This window comes from Homo sapiens, chromosome 1 (assembly GCF_000001405.40).
Source record: "Homo sapiens chromosome 1, GRCh38.p14 Primary Assembly".
Taxonomy (NCBI): domain Eukaryota; kingdom Metazoa; phylum Chordata; class Mammalia; order Primates; family Hominidae; genus Homo; species Homo sapiens.
Window position 1 is genome coordinate 165,927,619 of NC_000001.11, and position 22,638 is coordinate 165,950,256.

Genomic DNA, 22,638 nt, shown 5'->3' on the forward strand with positions numbered 1-22,638 from the left:
AATATTTTCTTCCATTCTGTAGGTTGTCTCTTTACTTCCTCGATGGTTTCTCTTGCTGTGCAGAAGCTCTTTAGTTTAATTAGGTCCCACTTGTCAATTTTTGTTTTTGTTGCAGTTGCATTTGAGGACTTAGTCATAAATTCTTTGCCAAGGCCAATATTGAGAAGGGTATTTCCTAAGCTTTCTTTTAGGATTCTTATAGCTTGAGGTCTTACATTTAAGTCGTTAATCCGTCTTGAGTTATTGTTTGTATGTGGTGATAGGTAGGAGTCCAGTTTTATTCTTTTACCTATGTATAGCCAGTCATCCCGGCACCATTTATTGAATAGGGAATCTTTTCTCCATCGTTTATTTTTGTTGAGTTTGCTAATAGATATTTGATAATACAGAACTTGGATATGACTTTTGGACACACTTAGATGTGGAGATTTTTCTCTTGGTTGCATTTGTGTATGTGTGAGAATAAGGAGAAAGGACTAATACATGGTCATTTCTATTTGCTGCTGTAGCAGCAAGGAGAATCTGGCAGAGGTAGACTGTGTGTGTGTGTGTGTGTGTGTGTGTGTGTAAGTATTGGCCATGACACATTGACACATCCTGTAATGACACTATCTCCCATGTGCTTGTCATTCTCCAATGTGCTAGGCTTCAAAACCTCACCAGGGGGCGCAATTGTAATTTCTCGCATTCATTTCGTTCATCAACCATTTATCTAGTTAGCCTCTACTGTATGCCTGTCACTGAAATGCATTGTTTTGTTTTAAACCTCATTTGAATCCTGTGAGGTAGATTGAATTACCCCTCTTTCCATAAAGGGAATTGAGCTTTAGGAGATGTTAAGTAAATTATGTCGTCAGCAATACATGGAGAAGCCGGAATTTGAACCCGTGTTTTTCTGCCTGCAGAATGTAAACCCAATACCCTTACACCCTGCTGCCTCCCCCATGTCATGCTATCTCAAAGACTGAGTTCTGTTCTCCAACCCTCTCCCTCCTGGATATCTTTACAGTGCTCGGCTCTCCACGGAGCTACTCCGTGGAAGTCCCTGTTCACCTGACCAGCAGGTGAGCACCTCGGCCCTTAGCCTGGGTTTGTGTTTCCTTATAATATCCCTATTTGGGACCTTGTCATTCATATCTGCATTTTATTTATTGTTATTATTTTTGAGACAGAGTTTCACTCTGTTGCCCATGCTAGAGTGCAGCGGTGCGATCTTGGCTCACTGCAACCTCTGCCCTCCAGGTTCAAGCAATTCTCCTGCCTCAGCCTCCTGAGTAGCTGGGATTACAGGCACTCACCACCATGCCCAGCTAATTTTTGTATTTTTAGTACAGATGGGGTTTCACCATGTTGGCCAGGTTGGTCTCAAACTCCTGGCCTCAGGTGATCCGCCTGCCTTGGCTTCCCAAAGTGCTGGGATTACAGGTGTGAGGCATCACGCCCAGCTGATATCTGCATTTTAAAGGCACATTTCCAACTTAGATGCTATGGAAGCATCCACATTTCATTTTACCTGTCTCTGTGGCTTGGCCTAAGTCTCCCTTAAGGTGGCTGTTCCCTAAACTCAGAGTAGCTTTTGAGAGGAAGGATGCTGCCTCCGAGAGGGACAACCCTTTAAGCTATTTCCAGTTAGCAATACAGCACCCCAGTCAGGACTGTCTGGTAAGGAGAGCAGAATCTTGCTGGAGGCCACTTGAGAAAGTTAGAGGTCCATCTTGATCTGAATGATGGGACAGAGGAAACAGAAGACTTCCTGAGAGGGGAGTGGTCAGCAAAGCCTGGGACCATGGAATTCCGTGTGAAGATTTGGCTAAAATATGGGGTGAAGGCAAGCGGCAGATGGGCTGATGCTTGTGACTTAGGGCTTCAAAGGAGCCCAAGCTAATCATTTTCTCAGCACAATTTGTGCTTATTTTTTGCTTTTGTTTCAGAACACGAGCCAGGGGGTGGGATAGAGGGGTGGGAGTGAGTCTTGAGTCTTATTATCCAGTTGACTAACTGAAGTCTATTTTTTTTTTTTTTGGTAATGACTATAGAGTTTTCTTCACATTTCACAGATTGAAACCCTTTACTTTGAGAATATGGCTAAACCTGTCCAAAGATACTGCCCAGAGCTATTGATTTGCTCTCTCCAAAAGGACATTCTTGTCATTAAATCATATTTTCCTAAAGATGGGATGTAGCAAACCTCATTGACTGCAGCCTAGTGCATAGCCAGCTCCTTGAGCACAGGAAGGGACTCTCTTCCACACTGGACACAGGTGGCTCCCTCACTTGTTTCCAGAGGTCCTCTTTAGAGCTAGCACCTGTCTCCCACAAGCCCCCGCCCCCACCCCCCCAAGGAAATTGAAGGAGAACAGCACAGAATGGGATGCAGCTGGGGAAAACAATCTTGGCAATCCTGCACAGACCCTATCAGACTGCAGACAGCCATCCACCTATTACTGTGCCTACTACAGATCCTGGCCACAGACCTGGATGCAAACCTCAACTCCAAAAACTAGTCTATGGAGTTAAAAGTCAGGATAGTTCTTACTGTGGGGAGGAGGGAAGGGAAGGGGTTGGGGAGGGGCATGAGAGGGGCTTCAGAATGGTAAGATTCTGTTTCTTGATCTGGGTGGTAGTTACTGGGTGTGTTCTCTTTGTGATACTCTCTCGAGATGTACACTTAGGATTTGCAATCTTTTCTGTAAAATATTTCAATAAAAGACATTTATTTTTTAAAAATCCAAGTTTCACTTCTTATTAATTGTATAATCTTGGACAAGTCACTTAAGCTCTCCAAGCCTCAGTTTCTTCATCCCACATGATGGGGCCATGATAATGCCTGCCTCACAGTGTGGTGAGGAACACATGAGCGAATGCCTACAGGCTCTCAGTACAGGGCTTAGCATATTGCTCAGTAAACACTAGTGTCTGCTGTAGCTTCTGTTGCTCAGGATGCACTAGACTACTCCCTGCATGGGTCTACTCTGCTTCCATGACTTTTTGCATCTCCAGGTCTCTGCTCACACACTGCCCTACCTGATCTTCTCCTCCTGGACCCCCATCACCAAATCTCATTCAGGGCACACACTGAAGACTCTTTTCCTTACCCTGGGTTTATCCTTCGCTTTAGCCTTTGTTTATCTTGTGTCCCTGCAGCCCCTGGTGAACAGTCTACTGGACCCTTAGTTTATCCCTCTCTTTCTCTCTACCATCAGGCTAGGAGCACAGCCCTCTGTAATGTGTGCCTTGGTATTGCAGCAAGCACCTGGCAAGCCCGTGCTCAGGGATATTGATTGAAATGCAGCGTCACCGGCTTCTCTGTGGGATATATGGTGTGGTTCCTTGAATTTGAGGATTTGAGATGCCTCCCCCCAGAGTTGTTCCTTTGTTCCACCATCTTGCATTAAAGTGCCATGTTGTGTTTTCACTACTGGGAAAATGTCATTTGAAAAATACACAGCAAGTGTTAGATGGTGCATCTGGTTTGCCATCTTGACAGGAGAAGGGTGAGGAACCAGGGGTGGATCCATGGCTGGGGCTGGGCCTTGGCTTGGACATTCGGTGTTGTTTGGTGCATCCAATGTAGAGATCCCAGGCCAGGCTCAGGGAGCTGCTTCCAGAGTGGGCTCAGGTTTTGATAACTGGATACCCTACACCTGGTGCATTCATCCTCCCTTCCTACTTCTGGGCTCTGTGATTCCCTTTTTTTTTTTTTCCTGGGGACAATACCTACCCTGCTGCCTTCACAATACATCCAGAATCCAACCACTTCTCAACATTTCCACTGCTTACCCTTTGGTACAAGCCACCATTATGTGCCAGATGAAATTCTGTAATAGCTTCATAACTGGACTAGGCTCCCTGTTTCCATTATTGCCCTTTGTAGCCTGTTCTCCCCATAACAGCCATAGCTATATTTTAAAAATGTAAATTCGATCAAGTCACTCACTGGTTCTATAATCCCCCAGTTTCTGACACACTGAAGAATAAAACCCAGTCCTTTTTGTGATCAACTAGACTACATATCACCCCTATCCATGCCCCATAACTCCCTACTAACTCTAAGACATCACCTCCTACCCTTCTCCTCCTTGCTGTTTTTTAGCCGCAATGCCTTACTTGACAGGACTTGGCTGGTACTTGATGACTGCATTGCTTCCTTCTTGGGAATTTTGCCCTGGCCGTTCCCTCTGCCTGGAATGTTCTTCCCCTGATAGTCACACTTGCTTACTGTACTGGGTCTCTGCTGGATGTGACACTCACAGCAGCCATCCTTGACTGGCCCATCCCTTAACCCTGATTTAGTTTTTCATTGAATTTATCTGTTTTAGTCTCTATCTGTGTACTTGCCTTTCCTCTGCGGATAGTTCTTCTGGGTCTGTCTCCTCGCCAGAATGTAAGCAGGGACTTATGTTGTTTTCTACTGCGTCCTGAGGATCTAGAAGATGGTCTAGCACAGGACAGTGCTCGATAGAAGTTTACTGAATGGATAAGTGAATGCAGTGAGATGGTGAAGTGAAGAGTATAAGCATGATCCCTTGGTTGAGATAGTTGCTGTCCCATGCCTCCGCCTCCAACTGCAGCAAAGTCACTTGCCTTTTAGCCAGGCCCTGGCATTCCCCAGACTAGTGGTGAGAGCCTGGAATCAACTAATTGGCTTCAGATCCCAGCTCTGCAGCTTATTAGGTGTGTGGGCTTAGGTAAGTTGCTTCATCTCTTTGGGCCTTAGTGCCCTCTTCTGTAACAAGTAATAGCCACAGGTCTTGGATGTGTATATTGGAGATAAAAATGGTATACTCCATTATACCAGGCAGGGCTTGGAGAAGTGATGCCCAGAGACCCAGCTGTCCTGCATCAGGGTTCGACCTTCTGACTCGCAGGTAGAGTTGCTACCTGGGTCTGGACTGTGATTTTTGTCAGGGCACCCCTGAACTATTTTCATTCCTGCATGGACACAGACTGTGCCTTACTGCTTGACCTCTTTCTCCAATTGCCACAGCTACACTCCACAGGCTTGGGCTTTGCAGGGCCAGAAGGCCTGTGATGCCTTCTGCTTTCACATGTGCATTCAGGAGAGACATACCAGGAAGCCCCCTTGGCCCCAAATCTAATCCATGTTCTTCAATTTAGCTCTATTAATAAGACTGATTTTTTTTTTTTTTTTTTTTTTTTTAGACGAAGTCTCGCTCTGTCACCCAGGCCGGAGTGCAGTGGCGTGATCTCTGCTCACTGCAAGCTCCGCCTCCCGGGGTCACGCCATTCTCCTGCCTCAGCCTCCTGAGTAGCTGGGAATACAGTCGCCTGCCACCATGCCTGGCTAATTTTTTTTTTGTATTTTTAGTAGAGATGGGGTTTCACTGTGTTAGCCAGGATGGTCTCTCGATCTCCTGACCTCGTGATCCACCCGCCTCGGCCTCCCAAAGTGCTGGGATTACAGGGACCCACCGTGCCCAGCCAAGACTGATTGATTTTAAAAAACGTACTCTGCCTCAATTTAGTCTTTTTTTTTTTTTTTTTTTTTTTTAAATCATGTTTCTCCTCTCAGAATTCAGGAGGAGAAGACAGGAGTATTATTTATTGGGCTCCTAAATGCATAATCTTATTTGACCTTCATAACAACTCTATGAAGTAGGCAGGTATTGGTTGCCTTGCCATTTTTCAGGTGAGTCAACTGAGACTTAGAGATGACATGTCCTGAATAAGGTCACTCGTACAAGTGGCAGAGCTGGGAGTCACACCTGAATCACCAAGCACCAAACCCAGAGCCTCTCCAATTTTACTATGGGTGTGTAAGGGTGTGGGGGGCGTGATTTGGTCATCACTTAATTCAGGGGAGGGGTCAGTGGAGGCCATGATCAGCAATCAGTCCTGGAGCTGGCAGGGGTGTAGTAGTCAAAGGCACTGATCTGAGATACGGGAATCCAAGGCTGGTTTGGGGAGGTGTGTGGTAGGGCTAGGGTAGAGGAGAGTGGCACAGTGTCAGGGATGCAGCAGAAAGGGCGGAAGGGAGCCCTCCCAGACTGCCCTGAGGGAGAGCTGAGGGAGCCCATTAGCCCGAGCCCTTGCTTAATTGGGAGCCCCAGCTGAGGCTAAGCTGCCTTGCCAGAGAGAAGACAGGCAGGGGGCCCTGAAAGCTGTGAGCCCTTCCTGCTGCAGTAGAAAGAAAGCGAGGAGCAGCCTAGGGGGGAAAAGGCTTGAGTAGGAAATAGAAAAATAGCTCTTGGGAAATCAAAAACGTTTCCAGGTCTAGGAAAGGCCGCCCTTTTCTCTCAAGCACATCTTCCCCACCCTGCCCCCTGCCCTGCAACTGTTGCCCCCCAGTGGGGCAACATGAAGGTGGCTGTTAAAATGCAAATGTGACCCAGGAGGGCAGACACATGAAGGCACTACACCAGCTGTTAGGCGGAAACTGGCTTTAGTTGGCCAGCTTAGCTTCAGTGAGCCCCGCTTCCCCAGGCAGGGCTTGGAGAAGTGATGCCAAGGGCCAGCTGTCCTGCATCAGGGTCTGGCCTTCAGACTCGCAGGTAGAGTTGACCTGGGTCTGGACTGTGATTCCTGTCAGGGGACACCTGAACAGTTTTCATTCCTGCATGGGCACAGGCTGCACCTTGCTGCTGGACCTCTTTCTCCAATTGCTATAGCTACAACCACATGCTGGGGCTTTGGGGGGCTAGGAGGGAAAGTGAGGGAGTAGGTTCAGCACGTGTATTAGAGAGGTCTCACTTCTCTGGGCTTCCTAATCCCAAACTTTATCAGGAGGCCATGCACATGGGGCTAAAGAGCTGGCTTCTCATGGATGATGGGGCATGTGATTTTAGGAAAATCCTGGCTGGGTCTTTTCCTAGCTGCGTGACACTTATGAAAGTCCCTTAAAGCTCTCTTATCCACAGATTCCTCATTTGCAAAAATCTGCCTAAATAATATCTACCTCTTACGGTTATTGTGACCTTAGCAGCCTATCGTGGCAGGAAACAAATGCTTTCCTCCCCGTATCTGACCTTTTGTCCCCTCACGTTGTTCGCTGGTGCTGCAACTTTCTGCATCCATCATTCCCTGGGGTTAAAAAATAGCCTCCAGAAGACCTATACGAAAAATGTGAATATATGTTTACCGAATCAGTGTTTCAGAGGAATAACACTAGCAAGTCAGCATCCTCTGATCCCAGCCCTGGGGAAGAGTTTGTCACATTTAGTTAGACATAGGGAGTGGGTCCAGGGAGAAAGTGACAAAGGCAGGGTAATCACTGAAAAGACCACGAACACTGGGGGTTCCCTTGGAAGAAGGGGCAACAGGGAGAGAAAGGCCAGGGGACTGGGGTGCTGGAAGAAAGGAGGTGGACTAGGGCAGGCTGGCTCATGGCTGCTGGCCCCCTGACAGAATCCATGATCTGGGGCCTGTAGAGGCTCAGACTGACCTGCTGTGTTGACCAGCCAGAGCTCACAGCCATTGTCTAAATGGAGCCTTCACCAGAAAGTCCTCTTTGGCCCTTGGGAGTCCTGGGCCTGGGTCTGGCAGGCGTCTGCAGAGCCAACCACTTGACACCTGTGCCCAGAGAGCTGCTGTGTCCCCTCTGCCCTGCGCAGTCCCTGGCACAAATGGGGCCTGCTCCATATATCCACTGATGAACGAGATACATCCTGTCCTCCCCACTGCCAGCTGGGAGTTCTCAGCTGACTGTGGTTCACCAGCTCCCAGTTCCCTGTCCACCCAACAGCACTGGGCATCTGACACCAGCCAGCCTCACCTCCTGCTTTGGTCACACTGAGTAACTTTGTCTCCTGCAATGTACTGCTCAGAGTAATGAAATAGTCATAATAAAACCCTTAATATTTAAAGCTCAGGGAACTGCGGCCCATGCCATATTGAGCAAAAAATAATTAATCATGAAAAAGGCCTCACTGACTCCATTTCCTCTGCTTCGGGCTACCTGGCTTGTTGGAGCTTTTCTTTCTGAGTGGATTGGAGGCTGCAAGTTGACTGATCTCTTAGGGAGAGGAAGCCCTCATTAATTTGTCTAAGGTAAATTTAACAAAAAATGTTGAGGTCGGGCCAGGCGCAGTGGCTCACACCTATAATCCCAGCACTTTGGGAGGCTGAGGCGGGCAGATCACCGGAGGTCAGGAGTTCGAGACCAGCCTGACCAACATGGTGAAACCCTGTCTCTGCTAAAAATATAAAATTAGCCAGGCGTGGTGGCACATGCCTGTAATCTCAGCTACTTGGGAGGCTGAAGCAAGCGAATCGCTTGAACCCAGGAGGTAGAGGTTGCAGTGACCCAAGATCGTGCCATTGCACTCCAGCCTGGACAACAAGAGTGAAACTCCATCTTGAAAAAGAAGTGTCGAGGACCTACCATGAACCAGCATGGCAGGGATTTTAGTCTGTTCTGTTCACTGTGATAGCCCCGGTGCTTAACATGGTGCTGGCCCATAGTTGGGGTCAATAACATAGGCTGCCTCATGCATCAAGCCTCACAGTAACCCATGAAGTACTTGTATCATTCTCGTTTACAGATTGTAAACCAAGGTTTTGAGAGGTGAAGTGACTTCTCCAGGGTCACTCAGAGAAGTGGGCAAGCTGGGAGGTGAGGGCATGTGTATTCACTCCTAGGTCACCTGGATTAATAGGGACAGTTTTTCTGTGCTGTTTCATGTGAGAATGGAAGGGTTGGGTGGGGAGTCTCACTGTGTGCCATCTCATGGGCCTGCCAACATGTCATCCTAGACAGACAGCTATTTTTATTTGCTTGTTAGCTGTTTCCTTGTACATCGTTCTGACATTTAATGAGTCATCTGTGGAGAACAAAAATGGAGGGCAGGGGGCAACAAAATTGGGTGTAAACTGTCCTTCCATTGCTTTGTTTTTAGCCTCAGGAGGAGAAGGGCTGTTAGTTTCATTTAAAAGTGGATCCACCTACACACAGGGCCAGGTGTACCAGGAATGTTCTTTAAGATGGAGTTGGTTTCCCCCTTGATTTTGCCTCATCTCGGGATCTAAAGCTGTCACAGGGGAAAGATGCCAGTTCCTACCTTGGAGCCAACAAGTTCTGGCTGTGTTAGGTGTTTTAGAATGAGGAGTCATGGCCTCTGGTGTGTGGGCAGTGGGAGATGCAAAGCGTGCTGGAGCTGCAAGGATCTGAGTCATGAAGACCAGCGGTTCTCCAACTGCGTCCTGGGAACATGCTAGCAATGCAAAGGCGCAGGCCCCTTCCAGACTCACTGATTCAGAAACTCTGGGGAGGGGCCTTGCAATCAGTGCTTTAGCAGATCCTCCAGGTGATTCTGATGACAACTGATCTAGACTAAGGTTTCTCAGCAGCAGTGTTATTGATATTTTGGACCAGGTAATTCTTTGTTGTGGTGACTGGCCTGTGCATTGTAGGATGTTAGCAGCTTCCCTGGCCTCTACCCACTAGATGCCAGTAGGTCTGCCTTCCAGTTGTAGCAACCAAAACTGTCTACAGACATTGCCTAATGTCTGCCTGTGGGTCAAAATCGTCCCAGTTTTGAGAACCAAGGATCCAGACCCTTGCTTCTTGAAATACAGTCCGTGGTCCAGTAAGCGTCTGTCTCATCTAGAAATTTGTTAGAAGTGAAGACTCTTGAGGCCCACTCCAAATCTACTGAGTCAGAATCCGCATTTTAACAAGGTCCTCAGGTGATTCGTATGCAGTTAGAATTGACAAGTGCTGACCTAAACCAATTTCTTCAGTTTACAAGTGAGGAGATGGCTTTCCAGAGGGCAGATGACCTGCTCAAGATCATGTCTCCTGAATCCTGCACAGGTAAGTCTTTGTGTTTGTTTACGGTGGTTATTTCTGAAATTAGGAGAGCTGCCCACATGGACCCTGAGGCTAAGATTTGCAGAGGGCTTTGTGGTAGGGACCAGTGGAGGCAGGAGCCAGAGCTTTTACACACTATGGAAATGGCAATCTCTGTACTTGCCAATCCATACAGTAGTTTTGAGGAGAACTGGTCAGTTATTTTGTAGGATGCCCTTAATTGGGATTTATCTGATTTTTTTCCTCATGATTAGACTAGGGTATGGGTTTTTGGGAGGAAGACCAGAGGGGGCAAAGTGTTATTTTCATCATATCATAGGTAAATCTTTGTATTTTCCCCAAGTAATTGATTACATTTTCTTGAAAACAAAATGGTCAGGTACCTCAGCACCTAACCATCAGCACAGTAACTTTACTTTGCCTTGTTGAATGCAAAGTAAATCTTATATAATACGGTGCTTTTGAACTGTCCCAGAATTTCCTGCTTACATTCTCTTATGGACGATAAAAATGAGCCAGGCAATATTAGAGCTGAGATTTCATGCAAAGTCCCACCTTTCTTTTATTAATGGGGAGTGATAGGCATAGCTCTTCTCTAATGGGCAGCCAACTGCTCAGCAATTTTCCTTTTGTGGTTCCCATTCCTGATCATTGCACCTACCTAATTAGTCAGATTGACAGCAGGCTCCTGGAGAACAAAAACTGCAGCCACTGATTCTAGGACAAAGGCAGTGAGAGGGATGTAAAACCATAGTAGGAGGGAGGTCTCTGAGTGGTGCATTCTGACCAGGTTACTTTTTTAATTTGAGATGGAGTTTTGCTCTTGTCACACAGGCTGGAGTGCAATGGCACGATCTCGGCTCACTGCAACCTCTGCCTCCCATGTTCAAGCAATTCTGCCTCAGTCTCCTGAGTAGCTGGGATTACAGGCACCTGCCACCATGCTCAGCTAATTTTTGTATTTTTAGCAGAGACAGGGTTTGCCATGTTGGCCAGGCTGGTCTCAAACTCCTGACCTCAGGTGATCCACCTACCTCGGCCTCCCAAAGTGCTAGGATTACAGGTGTGAGCCACTGCACCCAGCCCTGACCAGGTTTCTTTAGGTACTTTGGTTAGAATCTCATTCCAGGTGTGGCATTGACTGCTTGGGGAATTCTCTCCATTAGAACAGATTGTTTGACATTATGATGAATTTTCAAACACTCTTACAGCTACTTCTTACAACACCGTCTCACGCATACTCTGCAAGACAGACAGACACACACACAGAGATGTCTCCCCTACTGGCCTGCCATATTTTGCAAAATTTCCTTTGTTTGAAGAAACTGTACTGAGTTAAGGTAGTAAAAGTCTCTGCTAAAGCGCAAGTGTTGTGTAAACCCAGGGTATTATTTTTATACTGCTGTTGTAATAAATTACCACAAACTTAGGAACTTAAAATTACACAAATTTATTATCCTACAGTCTAGAGGTCAAAAGTCTGAAATGGGTCTTACAGGCTATAATCAAGATGTTTGGCAGAGATGTGTTCCTTCTGGAAGCTCTGGGAAGGATTGAATTCCTTGCCTTTCCTAGCTTCTGGAGGCTGCCTGCATTCCTTGGCTTCCACCTTCCTCCATCTTCAGGTGCATGACTTAATTGTGTGATTCTGCTTCCATCATCAATTTTCCCTTTGACTTTGATGCTTCTACTTCTCATCTTATAAGGACCCTTGTGATTACATCGACCCACACAGTGAATCTGGGATCATCTCCCATCTCAAGATTCTTAACTTAATCACATCTACGAAGTGCCATTGTAACTTTTTTTTTTTGAGATGGAGTCTTGTTCTGTTGCCCAGGCTGGAGTGCAGTGGCGCAATCTCAGCTCACTGCAAGCTCTGCCTCCCGGGTTCAGGCTATTCTCCTGCCTCAGCCTCCCGAGTAGCTGGGACTACAGGTGCCCGCTACCACACCTGGCTAATTTTTTTTTTTGTATTTTTTCAGTAGAGATGGGGTTTCACCATGTTAGCCAGTATGGTCTCGATCTCCTGACCTCGTGATCTGCCCGCCTTGGCCTCCCAAAGTGCTGGGATTATAGGTATGAGCCACCGTGCCAGCCAACATATTTTAACATGTAAGATAACATATTCATAGGTTCTAAGCATTAGGATGTGGATTTTTTTGGGGGAGGCAGGAGTATTATTTGGCCTACCATACCTGATTCACTATTCTGTTAAATGCAGATAATAATAACTATTATTAAGTGCTAAACTGTGAGTACCAAAATAGATGTTACATGTCATTTGTTTGGCACAAGCTCTGGCACACAGTAAGGCCTGAGCACTGGTTAACTAATTAGTGGGGAGAGGGACTGAGCAGGTTGAGAATATGGGAGTTGTCTAGGGCAGGAGGGATCCAAGTGGGGTGTTGCTCTGAACAGGTGCTGGGTGATATTGGCGGGAAAGTAAGTGTGCAGAGTTGTGTAAGTTGCACCAAGAGGAGGGAAGAGGGATAGACCACTGAAAAGCATTGTTTTCTTAGCGTTTTGACTGTAACATTTTTTCTCCAGACTTCCTCATCTCTTGATTGAGGATAGCTGGTCTCTAATGTCCCTAAAAATCACCCCTCCGCCCAACTGCCTTTGCTCCGCACCCCTCTGTGGCCCCATTTAAGTCCTGCTCTTCTTCAAGGTTTGGCTCAAACACTACCTCCTCCAAGAAGCTTTTACTAGTCATTTAGTAATCATGGTCATTTTCGCTCCTCCATTGCCAATAGTGCTTAATTCTAAGACCTGGCCTGCAGTGCCCTAGTCTAGTTTTTCCAATTAGATCATAAAACACTTTGTTGTACTACTATGTTACTTGCAGTACCATTTCAAAAACTGAACTCCTCTCCACTCCCCTCTGCAATTCCACCATCAACCTACAAATTCTCTTTTTCTTCTTAAAGGCCCCTCCTTTACCATCTCCTAAGCATGAAACTTTGTTGTTGTTGTTGGCAAAAAACATTATTTTCCTTTAAAATAAAATGTACAACCAAAAAAGCTCAGGGCCTGGAGCAGTAGGGAAGACAGGGGTATACCAGGGAGCCCATTTCAGGGTAGGGACCTGTGGGTCTGATCCCTCCACCCCATACCTTTGTAAAGGAGGGGAGGTCTATAAGCCAGAAATTTCAGAAGGGAAGGGAAATATATGCTGTGCTGGTGCTTTTTCTGGAATGGGTCATCCTTTAGGTACAGAACACCACCTTCATCGATGACATCAGAACCACAGACTGGCAGAGCCTTGGAAATCACATAACACACCCATCCCCCATCACACACATGGACACATTGAGGCTCAGATAGGGAAGGATATGCACCCTAAGGCACACCCCAAATCAAAAAGGCAAGGTCAGGACTACACCACCTGAGCAGCTTTAGCAGGGGACTGTGGCCCCAGGCCTGGATATGCACAGTATATCATGAGATACATCAGACATGTGAATGACCTTGTGGAGAGAAATGGCTGTGATTGTCAGGGAGCAGCCACTGCCCAGGGGCGCCTGACCTCAGCAAAAGGTGGCTATGTAAAGGCCAAAAACTGGATGGTGGTCATGAGCCTCTGGACTCTTTTCAGCACCAAATGGTGGAGGTCTCTGCTAGCTCAACTTCTTGGGGCTTCTCAGGTAGGGTTGCTGTTGCTTGAGGGCCGGGGAGAGGCCAGCAGCACTGGAGTCAGCTTTGGCCTCTGCCCTTCTGTCTCACCCCACCTCTGTCTTCAGTAGGGACAAGAGAGGACGCGGGGTGGGGAAGACCAGAGTAGAGCAGCACCTTGTTTCTGGCTTCCGGGCAGTGGGCTGCCTCCTCCCAAGCAGGATTGAAGGGTTCAGAATAGCTTTTCCTCAGGTCAAGAGGGTATGCTCTTCGCTCCGGAAGTCCCACCATGCTGAACCCTATGTTGGTTAGGAGGACAGCATACTCCAGGCGGGCAAAGACGGTGCACACCCCAGCCTAGCAATACACATGCCCAAAGTAGACAGCCAGTGCTGAGAAGGCGATGTGCCGACCATGCAGAGCCGCTGTTCCAGCCTGGGACTTGCCTTCGTGTGCTTCTCGGTCAGCCGGAGAATGCGGCGAGGCGCATGCGACCAAGTAGCACAATGAAAGCATTTTCGGGACCATGAGGTCCTTGGAGGAGATTTGAGCGAGCAAGGGCCAGCACGAGCTCTCCACGCCGCCGAGGCCGAAGTTGAGGGGGCAGAGCGGGAGATGCCAGGAACACTGGGAGGTGCAGCTGGGTCAGTGGCTGCAGGAGGCTCAGGCCACCGAGCAGACATGTGGAAACGTCACGCGCAGCGCTGGGGCGCCTCCCTGCCCACGGCCCAGCTCCTCGAGGGCAGCAGATGGGCACCCAGGCAGTGGCAGCCAGGATGTAGGGGGAACCCGGGCCAGGCTGAGGGGCGGGAACGTCTAAGCATGAAACTTGCCACTTATTTAGCCTGTATTCCTTGACTCCGATAATCCCGCAGAACAAAGTCTTCATGATTCTTTCTTCTTAACAAAAACACCAGCTGATTTGCGTGCTGAGGTGGATTAGGGAAAATACCTGTGTAATTAATGGTAGCGCGGTCTTGGGAATCAGGCCTCCAGAGTTCCAGTTCTAGTTCTACCTTTAAGGAACCACATAACCTTGGGGAAGTGGCCCCCTTCCTCCGTCTGCATTTTCCTAGTGTGTATTACAGCAATTACTTTTGCAGCAACCTAATAAAATGAGAGTATTGGGCTAGATAGTCGTGAAGGGTCCTTTGAGCTCTTGAGCCTTCCTGTCTGTATGTTAAACCCACTTAGTGTTAAGGCCCCATTCTCAGGCCTGCTTACCGCCCTCTTATCCCTGTTGGAGGTGGGAGAGGACAAAGCTGTTTTTCAGACATCTTAAGTTAAGCCCAGGCTCTGTGCAGAGGATGAAGTTACTGATTACAGAGCAATTTGTTCAGGAGACACTGAAGATAATTAGTAAGAGAAGAGTCAGTGTGTCTTGAATGGAGTTCTTCTAATCCCTTAGGCATTGATCAGTCAATTCCATGAGCACTACACTAGCTGGTCAGGACTTCGACCTGGGGAACTAAATGCAAGAGCTTCACAGGCACTAAATAAGCACTTGCAAGAAGGCAAATTTAGTTTCACTTGGGGGATGCTTGATGCCCAAGAGAAATGACTGCCATGCCATTTAATTCTCTTCTCATTTAACATTCATTCAGGTGAACATTTTTGAATCCCTGGTACGTAGGAGATACTGTCAGTAGCAAAAGTGACTATGCCACCTTCCCTCCCCTCAGGAAACTTTTAACACAGTGGAAGAGACAGACTCGTCAAAACTGCAATACAAAGCAGAATGTAAAATGGAGTAAGCGAGGCACCCCCAAGGTGCTATGGGGGTTGAGAAGAAGGTGAGCCCTGAGTTGGTTGGGGTCGTCCTGACTCCAGAAGGATGGCTGGGTACATGGTCACCACAACAGGATGAGAGGACACTTGAGGTGGAGGGGATGGCATGAGCAAAATCGTAAAAGAGGGACAGTCTGGGGCAAAAGAGAAAGCGGATGGTGGTCGATTTGCCTAGATTACAGCACTCTACACACTACAAAATAGAATTAGAAAAATATACCAGGTTTAGCTTGTTTGAAACTTGAAAAGATGTTGGGCTTAATTTACTGGCAGTGAGGAGACACTCGGGGTTTCTTTTTGGCATAGGAATAGCATGATGTGCATTATGTATGTAGAGTTGCACATTAATAAAATATTAACAAATGAAAGGAATGCATTCCCATCTTGTTCTTCTGAGATGAAACCAAGAAGCTATACAAAAGGAAAAGAAGGATTGCAGCATTTCACACTCCCCATAGTTCTGTGAAAAGTAAGAGTTGGCAATGCCTAGCTCCATGCCACTGTTTCTGGATTCTCCAGTGATTCCCTGGGCTGGTGGAATCAGAGAGGTGTGACAAGAAGCTGTTTTCCCCAAATGACTCAGCTGCCAGGTGTTACATGCATCTGGCTCAGGAAAAACAACCACATGGAGATCTGTTTGTTACTCAGAGTTCCCTCTAGGTGGCCAGAAACATCCCCTAAAGTAGTTAAATGAAAGAAAAAGAGAAGGTCAGAAAAAGCATTCACAAATACTGAGTTGCTTAGCTGTGTATGTGGCTGTTTGAAAAGTTTCCTGGAAGTGTGTTCAGGGGGAGAAAAGCCTAATCCTTCAGGTCCCTATCTGCTGAGGGTCGGGTGAAGATTCTGGGAAGTTGGAGTAAGTAACATTCACACTGATTAAGATAAAAATAAGACAATGACAAAACCAAACATGTTTACTAATAAGTAGTCCTTGGTATTGTGGATGTGCTTATTGCAATTCCCTCTGTGTACTGCTTGTCATAAGATAAAAATGATGCAAGGACACAGAAAGACGGAAGAGGGGTATGCTTAGAATTAGGCAGGAGAGGCCGGTCGCAGTGGCTCACACCTGTAATCCCAGCACTTTGGGAGGCAGAGGAGGGTGGATCACGAGGTCAGGAGATCGAGACCATCCTGGCTAACACAGTGAAATCCCGTCTCTACTGAAAAAACAAAAACAAAAACAAAAAATTAGCCGGGCGTGATGGCAGGTGCCTGTAGTCCCAGCTACTCGGGAGGCTGAGGCAGGAGAATGGCATGAACTCAGGAGGTGGAGCTTGCAGTGAGCCGAGATCGCACCACTGCACTCCAGCCTGGGTGACAGGGCGAGACTCCGTCTCAAAAAAAAAAAAAAAAAAAAAGAATTGGGCAGGAGAAATACCAGCACCCATCCACTGAGTCTTGGTGGGGTCTGTGAAATGCCTCATCATTTCTGGATGCTCCAGAACTGGCTGACACAGGCTGCCCTGATGGACACAGGGATATGAGGTGCCTGGAGGCTTCAGGGACACTTATGAAATGTCATTTTAGGGCTGGTTAAGTCTAAAGATGACAGGGAGTGTAAATTAAAATTGCTCAAATCAATAGCCAGGCACAGCAAAACATTCCTGTAGTCCTAGCTACTCAGGAGAAGGCTTAAGTCCAGGAGTTCAAGACCAGTCTGGGCAACATAGCAAGACTGGTCTCTTAAAAAAGGTTACTCAAATCACAAGGAGAGCCAGAGTTCATTTAAACTAGTGATCTTAACAAACCTTGATAAGGGCAAATGATTGTTACCAGAATTACCTGAGGCATTTATAAAACTTTTTACTATAGAAGAATCAAAACACATACAGAATAAACAAGAGTGATGTCACTGAAAATGACTAGGGAACTTAAAAATCTGTTTCCATTAAAGCAGTGATTTAACTGGCAAAAACTGTCAGAATCAAAATTTTCAGAGCTCTGGAATCCAATTAAAAAAAGTTACAACAAATAGGTGAATGCTGGTTGAATGAATGAAGAAAGAAGCTGCTGAATTTGGGGAAGAGAGCACTGGGTTGTTTTAACTTATTCACCAAGCCCCACTCAGTTCGGCAGCAGCTGTGAAGACAGTGATCTATATTCCTGGAAAAGGTTGCTGGTACTAGCAGGAGCAATGATCTTATTCTTATTTTCAAAGAATTTTGGTTGTATGTTTTAAGCTGCCCGGTGGCTCCCTGAAAGATAGGCTCAGGGCTTGCCTTTGTTTTTCTTGACTTGGATCTTTCTCAGGGCCGAAGCGGCTGGTCGAAAGCATTTAAAAGCTGCAGCCACCTGTGGCAAGGGATAAAAGTGAGGGCGAGCAGTAGATGGGTAATCCTAGGAAGGAAGAGGTGGCTAGGGAAGGAGATACATGGGGGAGTAAGGGCTTTGAAAAGCTCCTGTGCATACTGGGGAATCTAGAAGGCCACCACGTACTCAGGGCTGGACACATGCCCATGGAAGACCTGAGGAGACCCCAAGCTTTCACTTCTGGCTGACCTGTAGGTTCCCTGAAAGCAGGAAGTGAAGGCTAAGGCAGAATCGTAAATGGCTTGTGTTTGAAGAAGTGCCCCATCACAGAACCAATATACAAAGACTGGGAGGATAGTTTTTCATTTTTCTTTGGCTCCAGGTGTTTAAGGACACCTCTGTCATCTCAGTAGCTGACCACTTAACATAACAGAACAGAGACTTCAGTGGCCATGCATGACAAAGAATACAGTCTTTACACACACACTAAACAATAAACACAATGGTATATGAATCCATCATCCTGCTCCCACAATTATCAACATTTGGCCATTCTTGTTTCATCCATCCTGTGACCCACTACCCACACTCCACTTGGTTTTATTGTTATCTTTTTACAGTTTCTTAAAAGGTAATCTTTATATACATTGAAGATAAATATTACCTTTTAATAAATGTATACAAAATGTATTTACATATATTTTAACTAGTCAGTTTTGACAAATGAATATGTATGCTTCTGTAACCTGCATTTCTACCAGGATATAGAACTTTTCCATCTTCTTGGAAAGTTTCCTCATGACCTTTCCAGTAACTCCCCTAGGATTTATTGTTTTCATACTGCCTATGTTCCAATCCCTTGCCTTATTGGCCCTCCCCCCTGAGACTGTCAATCACTGCCTTAGGGAGCCACTGTTATTGGTGGGAGCATGTGAGGCCTCTTATGTATCTGCCTGGCCAATCCAGTATTCCATGTAACAAGTAGAGTAAATACTCATGGACGCTTTGGGAGAAAAGGCCAGAGGTGAGTAGTACCCCCAACAGACGTGGAGGTTCCTAGATTATGTCACTGTAGAGTGTGGCTGCTGGTGGTGGTGGTGGTGGTGGGAACGGCAGCAGTAGCAGCAGCAAGGGGCTTCTGAATGAGGAACCCTCCATGGAATGTTAGGCAGGAGCTTTCAGAATGGTTTAATTCCTCAAGCCTCTGCATATGCCAGTCCCTTGTCCTGTATCACCGGATATTATCAGGTTGCTTCTTATACATTCTTTTAGAAAGCTCACCTAGATTCCTGATTAGACCTGATACCCTCCTTTTTGCTCCCACTTTGCATTTCTATTATGATGCCACGTCATATTAAAACTGTGAGCGTGTTGGTGCCCTGAAATAGTTGTAAACTTTTTGAAGTCAGAATTGGGGGCTTATACATCTGTGGATTTTCAGCCTCTAGGCTGATTATATATAGTAAGCACAGAATACATGTTTTGAAAGTAGATTCCTCTTGCAAATGTGGCCTTTCACCTTATACCTCAGAGCATGGGCCATTTTGTGGACTAACACTTTTCCCTGTCTATCGGAGAGTTGTGTTGTAAGAGCATGTCATTTACCACAATGGGAGCTTGACCTGACTATGGGTCTGAATCAGTTTTGATGAGGTTTGGGATGTGTGTGGGCCAAAAATAGCTATTTTTTTAAAAAAAGAATAACCACTTATTAGAGTAGATACAGAACCCTTGTTTGGCCAAATTTTAATACTGCTTTACATGTTTTCTGTTTGTGAAACAATTCTTATTACATTTATAACCAAAAATTTCAACTGATAACAGATTTAATTTTCACTGTCAAACACACAGTTGATAATCTTGAGGGGAAAATACATCAAAGGCGTATATATATAATTATAGAAGTTCTTATTGTACATGTAGTATGGAAGATACATTTTATTACTTTTTACATATTCTGGAAGACATTCAAATGAAGGTAAATAAATTCAAAATGGTTGGTAAACTGTTCTGGTGCTTTCAGGTCCTTCATTTTCTTTTTTTGTTATAAGAAAATCCAAAATTATTGTTGAATTTCTCATCGTACATTCATCTAAAAACAGTAAAAAAAACTTGTAAAGGAAGACTGAAGATTGGTTAATTTAGGCGTTTTATAGTGGCTCATCATTAATTGACTGCTGGGGATACCTGCTAGAGAAGGAAAAAAAGTTGGAGAAAATTCCTCTAGTTATTTAAATCTGGTAAAGAAATAAAACAAAACAGACAAAGATAATTGCAAAGCCACACGATGCTAAAAATAGCTAATTTTGAAGCGTGACGCTTATTCACTTTTGTACCTTCTGCAAAGTGCCAAGCATGTCAGAAGCACCACCAAGGCTGGCACTGCCCCATCCCAGGTCAGCTGGGCTCATGGTGCTCCACCCTGAAGGAGACCTCATGGTTTTCCCGTCTTCTCCCCAACATAAACCATCATCCCTGGGAAACGTGTCTGTGTAAGCCCCAGCTTGGGGCATGCTTCTGCCCATCAGTGTGGAGCCTGGTCCTTCAGGCTGATAAAGGATCTCATTCCATTTATTGAAGAGTGACCTTTCTTCACCTTCCATTGTGATTCCTTTTGAAAAGTTCCTGGCTTCCTCTTCCACCCTGTAGCAGGGAGCTGGCTGCCAGGCAAAGTCTGAGCAGGCTTGAGGAGAGTGGCTGAGCAGGGTAAATAGAAGGTTGTGAGGAAGGAAGTTATTTTTGGTCATTTATTGTTGAGAGGTGTCTTAGCCTGAATTTCTTAGGAAACAGAACCTGAAGCAAAGTTTATGAGCTCATGCTCTGTAGGGGTGTGGGAGTACAATTCCAGGGAGGTGAGAGTGAGGGAAGAGGGGAAATGAGATGGGAATGAGAAAAAGCAAATACAAAGAGTTGTTTTACCAAACTGGCTACAGTTTAACCAAGAAGCCCAGCTATTGCGCCATCAAATGGTAGGTCTCAGGAGAGGTTGAACAGAAACACTGTTTGGGAACAGTCTGTTGGGAGGAGGGGAGAACTGATCCACTCTCTCCTCCCTATCTTCCTACTCTGATCAGCCAAGGTTCTTCCCCATGGGGCCTTCGCCCTTTCATATTTCTAAGTTGTGTTACCTGGACCCTCTGGGCAGCTGCTGGGGAAGGAAGAACTCATAAGGTAGACCATGGTGAGCTAGCGGCACACCCTCCCTTCCTGCCTGTAGCAGAAGCCTCAGGGGCCCTCCAGTGTGTGTGCCTAGGAGGTTGGGGTGGGTGGCTCCGTGGGTCCCGCAGTGTGGGAGATGGGATGCACAAAGTCTGACATGTGAGGCATGAGGTGTCCTGCCACGTTGTGTCTTGAGTGACATGGGAGACTGGAAGCATCTGCAGGAGCAAGCCCAGCAGGCTGTGCAGGTGAAGAACTACAATGATGTGGCCTCTGCTATGAAGATAATATAGAAGCTCCATGAATCTTTCTACAACCAACCAAATCCTCCTCTCTGTGGCCTATAAGAATGTGGTAGTGCCAGGTGAGCCTTCTGGAAGATCGCCAGTAACACCGACCAGGAATAAGTGGCTAAGCTCATCTCAGGACACATACAAACTAGATCCTCTTTAAGAAGTATGACCATAGGGGGCGTGGTGGTTAGTAGAAGACAGAAAGACAGAAAGAAGGGGGACCTGCGCACAGTGACTTATGCCTGTAATTCCAGCACTTTGGGAGGACTAGGTGGGAGGATCATTTGAGACCAGGAGTTTGAAGCTACAGTGAGCTGTGATTCACCACTGCTCTCCAGCCTGGGTGACAGAGCCAGACACTGTCTCTAAAAATGAATGAATGAATGAATAAAGAAGCAAATAAATAAATAAATGGAGCCCCCCCCCCCCAAACACACACAAAGAGGGGCCTGGCTTCTTCAGAGAGCAAAGGATGCTGTTGTGTTTGTGCTCTGCCACTTGCATATATCTTGTGAGCTCCCATAAGTCTAGGGCCATTTTCAGGTTGTGGCACTGAGTGCAGCGTCTGGCATATATTAGGAACTGTGTAAATGAAATGGGCAAGAGACAAAGTGAGTCTACCTAGGAAAAAGCCCTTCACAGCATCTAAGCAGGGTAAATGACCCTGGTGCAGATGGAGATCGGCCTTGCTTTCCAGAGCCATGAAGGGAAGGCTCATCCCAGTGCTGGTGGCTGCCTGTGCGAAGTTGTGATTTAGAGAATTTTATAGCCCTGTTTTCAGATGTTCACTCACCATTTACTGCTGTGCTGCTAATAAACATCTTGTCATAATGATAAATGGGGCAACTCGAGGGGGACGTGGGAGCCATGTTTAAAGAGCCTTGTGTTCTTCAGAATACCAACCCTGCCTGTGGATCAGAGAGCCCCAAATTTATTTTTAAAAATCTGTCTTTATTGTTGATGTGACTGAAATCCAAGAGAGGCAAACTGTAACTTTGTTGGAAACCTCCAAAGGGAGGGGCCCCAGGGGCTGCAGGGAGCTGTCCAGGGTCCTGTGGCTGGGGAGAGGATGGCACAGTGGCCTCTGGACACTGTGGGGCATTCTTCCAGAGTTTGTGGTGAGCTTTGGTCAGGAGGAAAGAGGAAGCCTCCTTGGGGACAGATTTCCCAAGGTTCCCAAACTGAGATGCCACACTCCTCAGTGCCCAGGTATGTGGTCAGAATATGAGTTGAGACAACTGGGGAAAGCCTGGCCCTCATGGTGCAGTGAAAGATGCTTCAGGCAACAATAAAGATTTCCCCTAGTGCCGATGCTTTTGCGTTGCAGAGATGGTGCCACATGCCACCACCCTGTGGGTTCAGTCTTCTGCTGACACCCTCTTAGCCCTTCTTCAGGTGCCCCTCCTTCCCCTTCCTCCTCTCTTTTCCTCCCCTCATCCTGTCCTTCCCATCCCTCTCCTTTCCTTTCTACCACACCCACGCTTCACACCCGCTGCACAGTGGAAGGCTGAGATGGGACAAGGGCCAGGATACAGAGGCCACTTGCAGGTGGGCATTGTGTTGTTTATGATGGGAGGAGAGAAAGCATCCACAGAAAAGTGAAAAGCTTCAAAGTGACTGGCAGCTGGGAAGAGGCCAGTTTGGGCTTGCCAATTTTGAATTCAGGCAGCTGGTGAACTGCCTGTTGCCCATGACATTGGCATTTCAAGAGTAATGAGGAAAATGTAGAGAGATGTCAGTCCACTTTATCTTAGAGAGGCA

At 46.6% G+C, this 22,638-nt stretch overlaps 1 pseudogene, besides 2 other annotated features; it reads right to left on the reverse strand.

Moving 5' to 3' along the window:
* Positions 655 to 764: a silencer, noted in NCBI's record as "silent region_1505". NCBI's record gives its function as "represses an Ori minimal core promoter by ATAC-STARR-seq in GM12878 lymphoblastoid cells {active_cell/tissue: GM12878}" and the evidence as "EXISTENCE:reporter gene assay evidence [ECO:0000049][PMID:35858748]".
* Positions 13,620 to 14,150, reverse strand: LOC100420658 (post-GPI attachment to proteins 2 pseudogene; annotated as a pseudogene).
* Positions 21,841 to 22,041: a silencer, noted in NCBI's record as "peak438 fragment used in MPRA reporter construct". NCBI's record gives its function as "represses an SCP1 promoter by STARR-seq MPRAs in K562 erythroleukemia cells {active_cell/tissue: K562}" and the evidence as "EXISTENCE:reporter gene assay evidence [ECO:0000049][PMID:32103011]".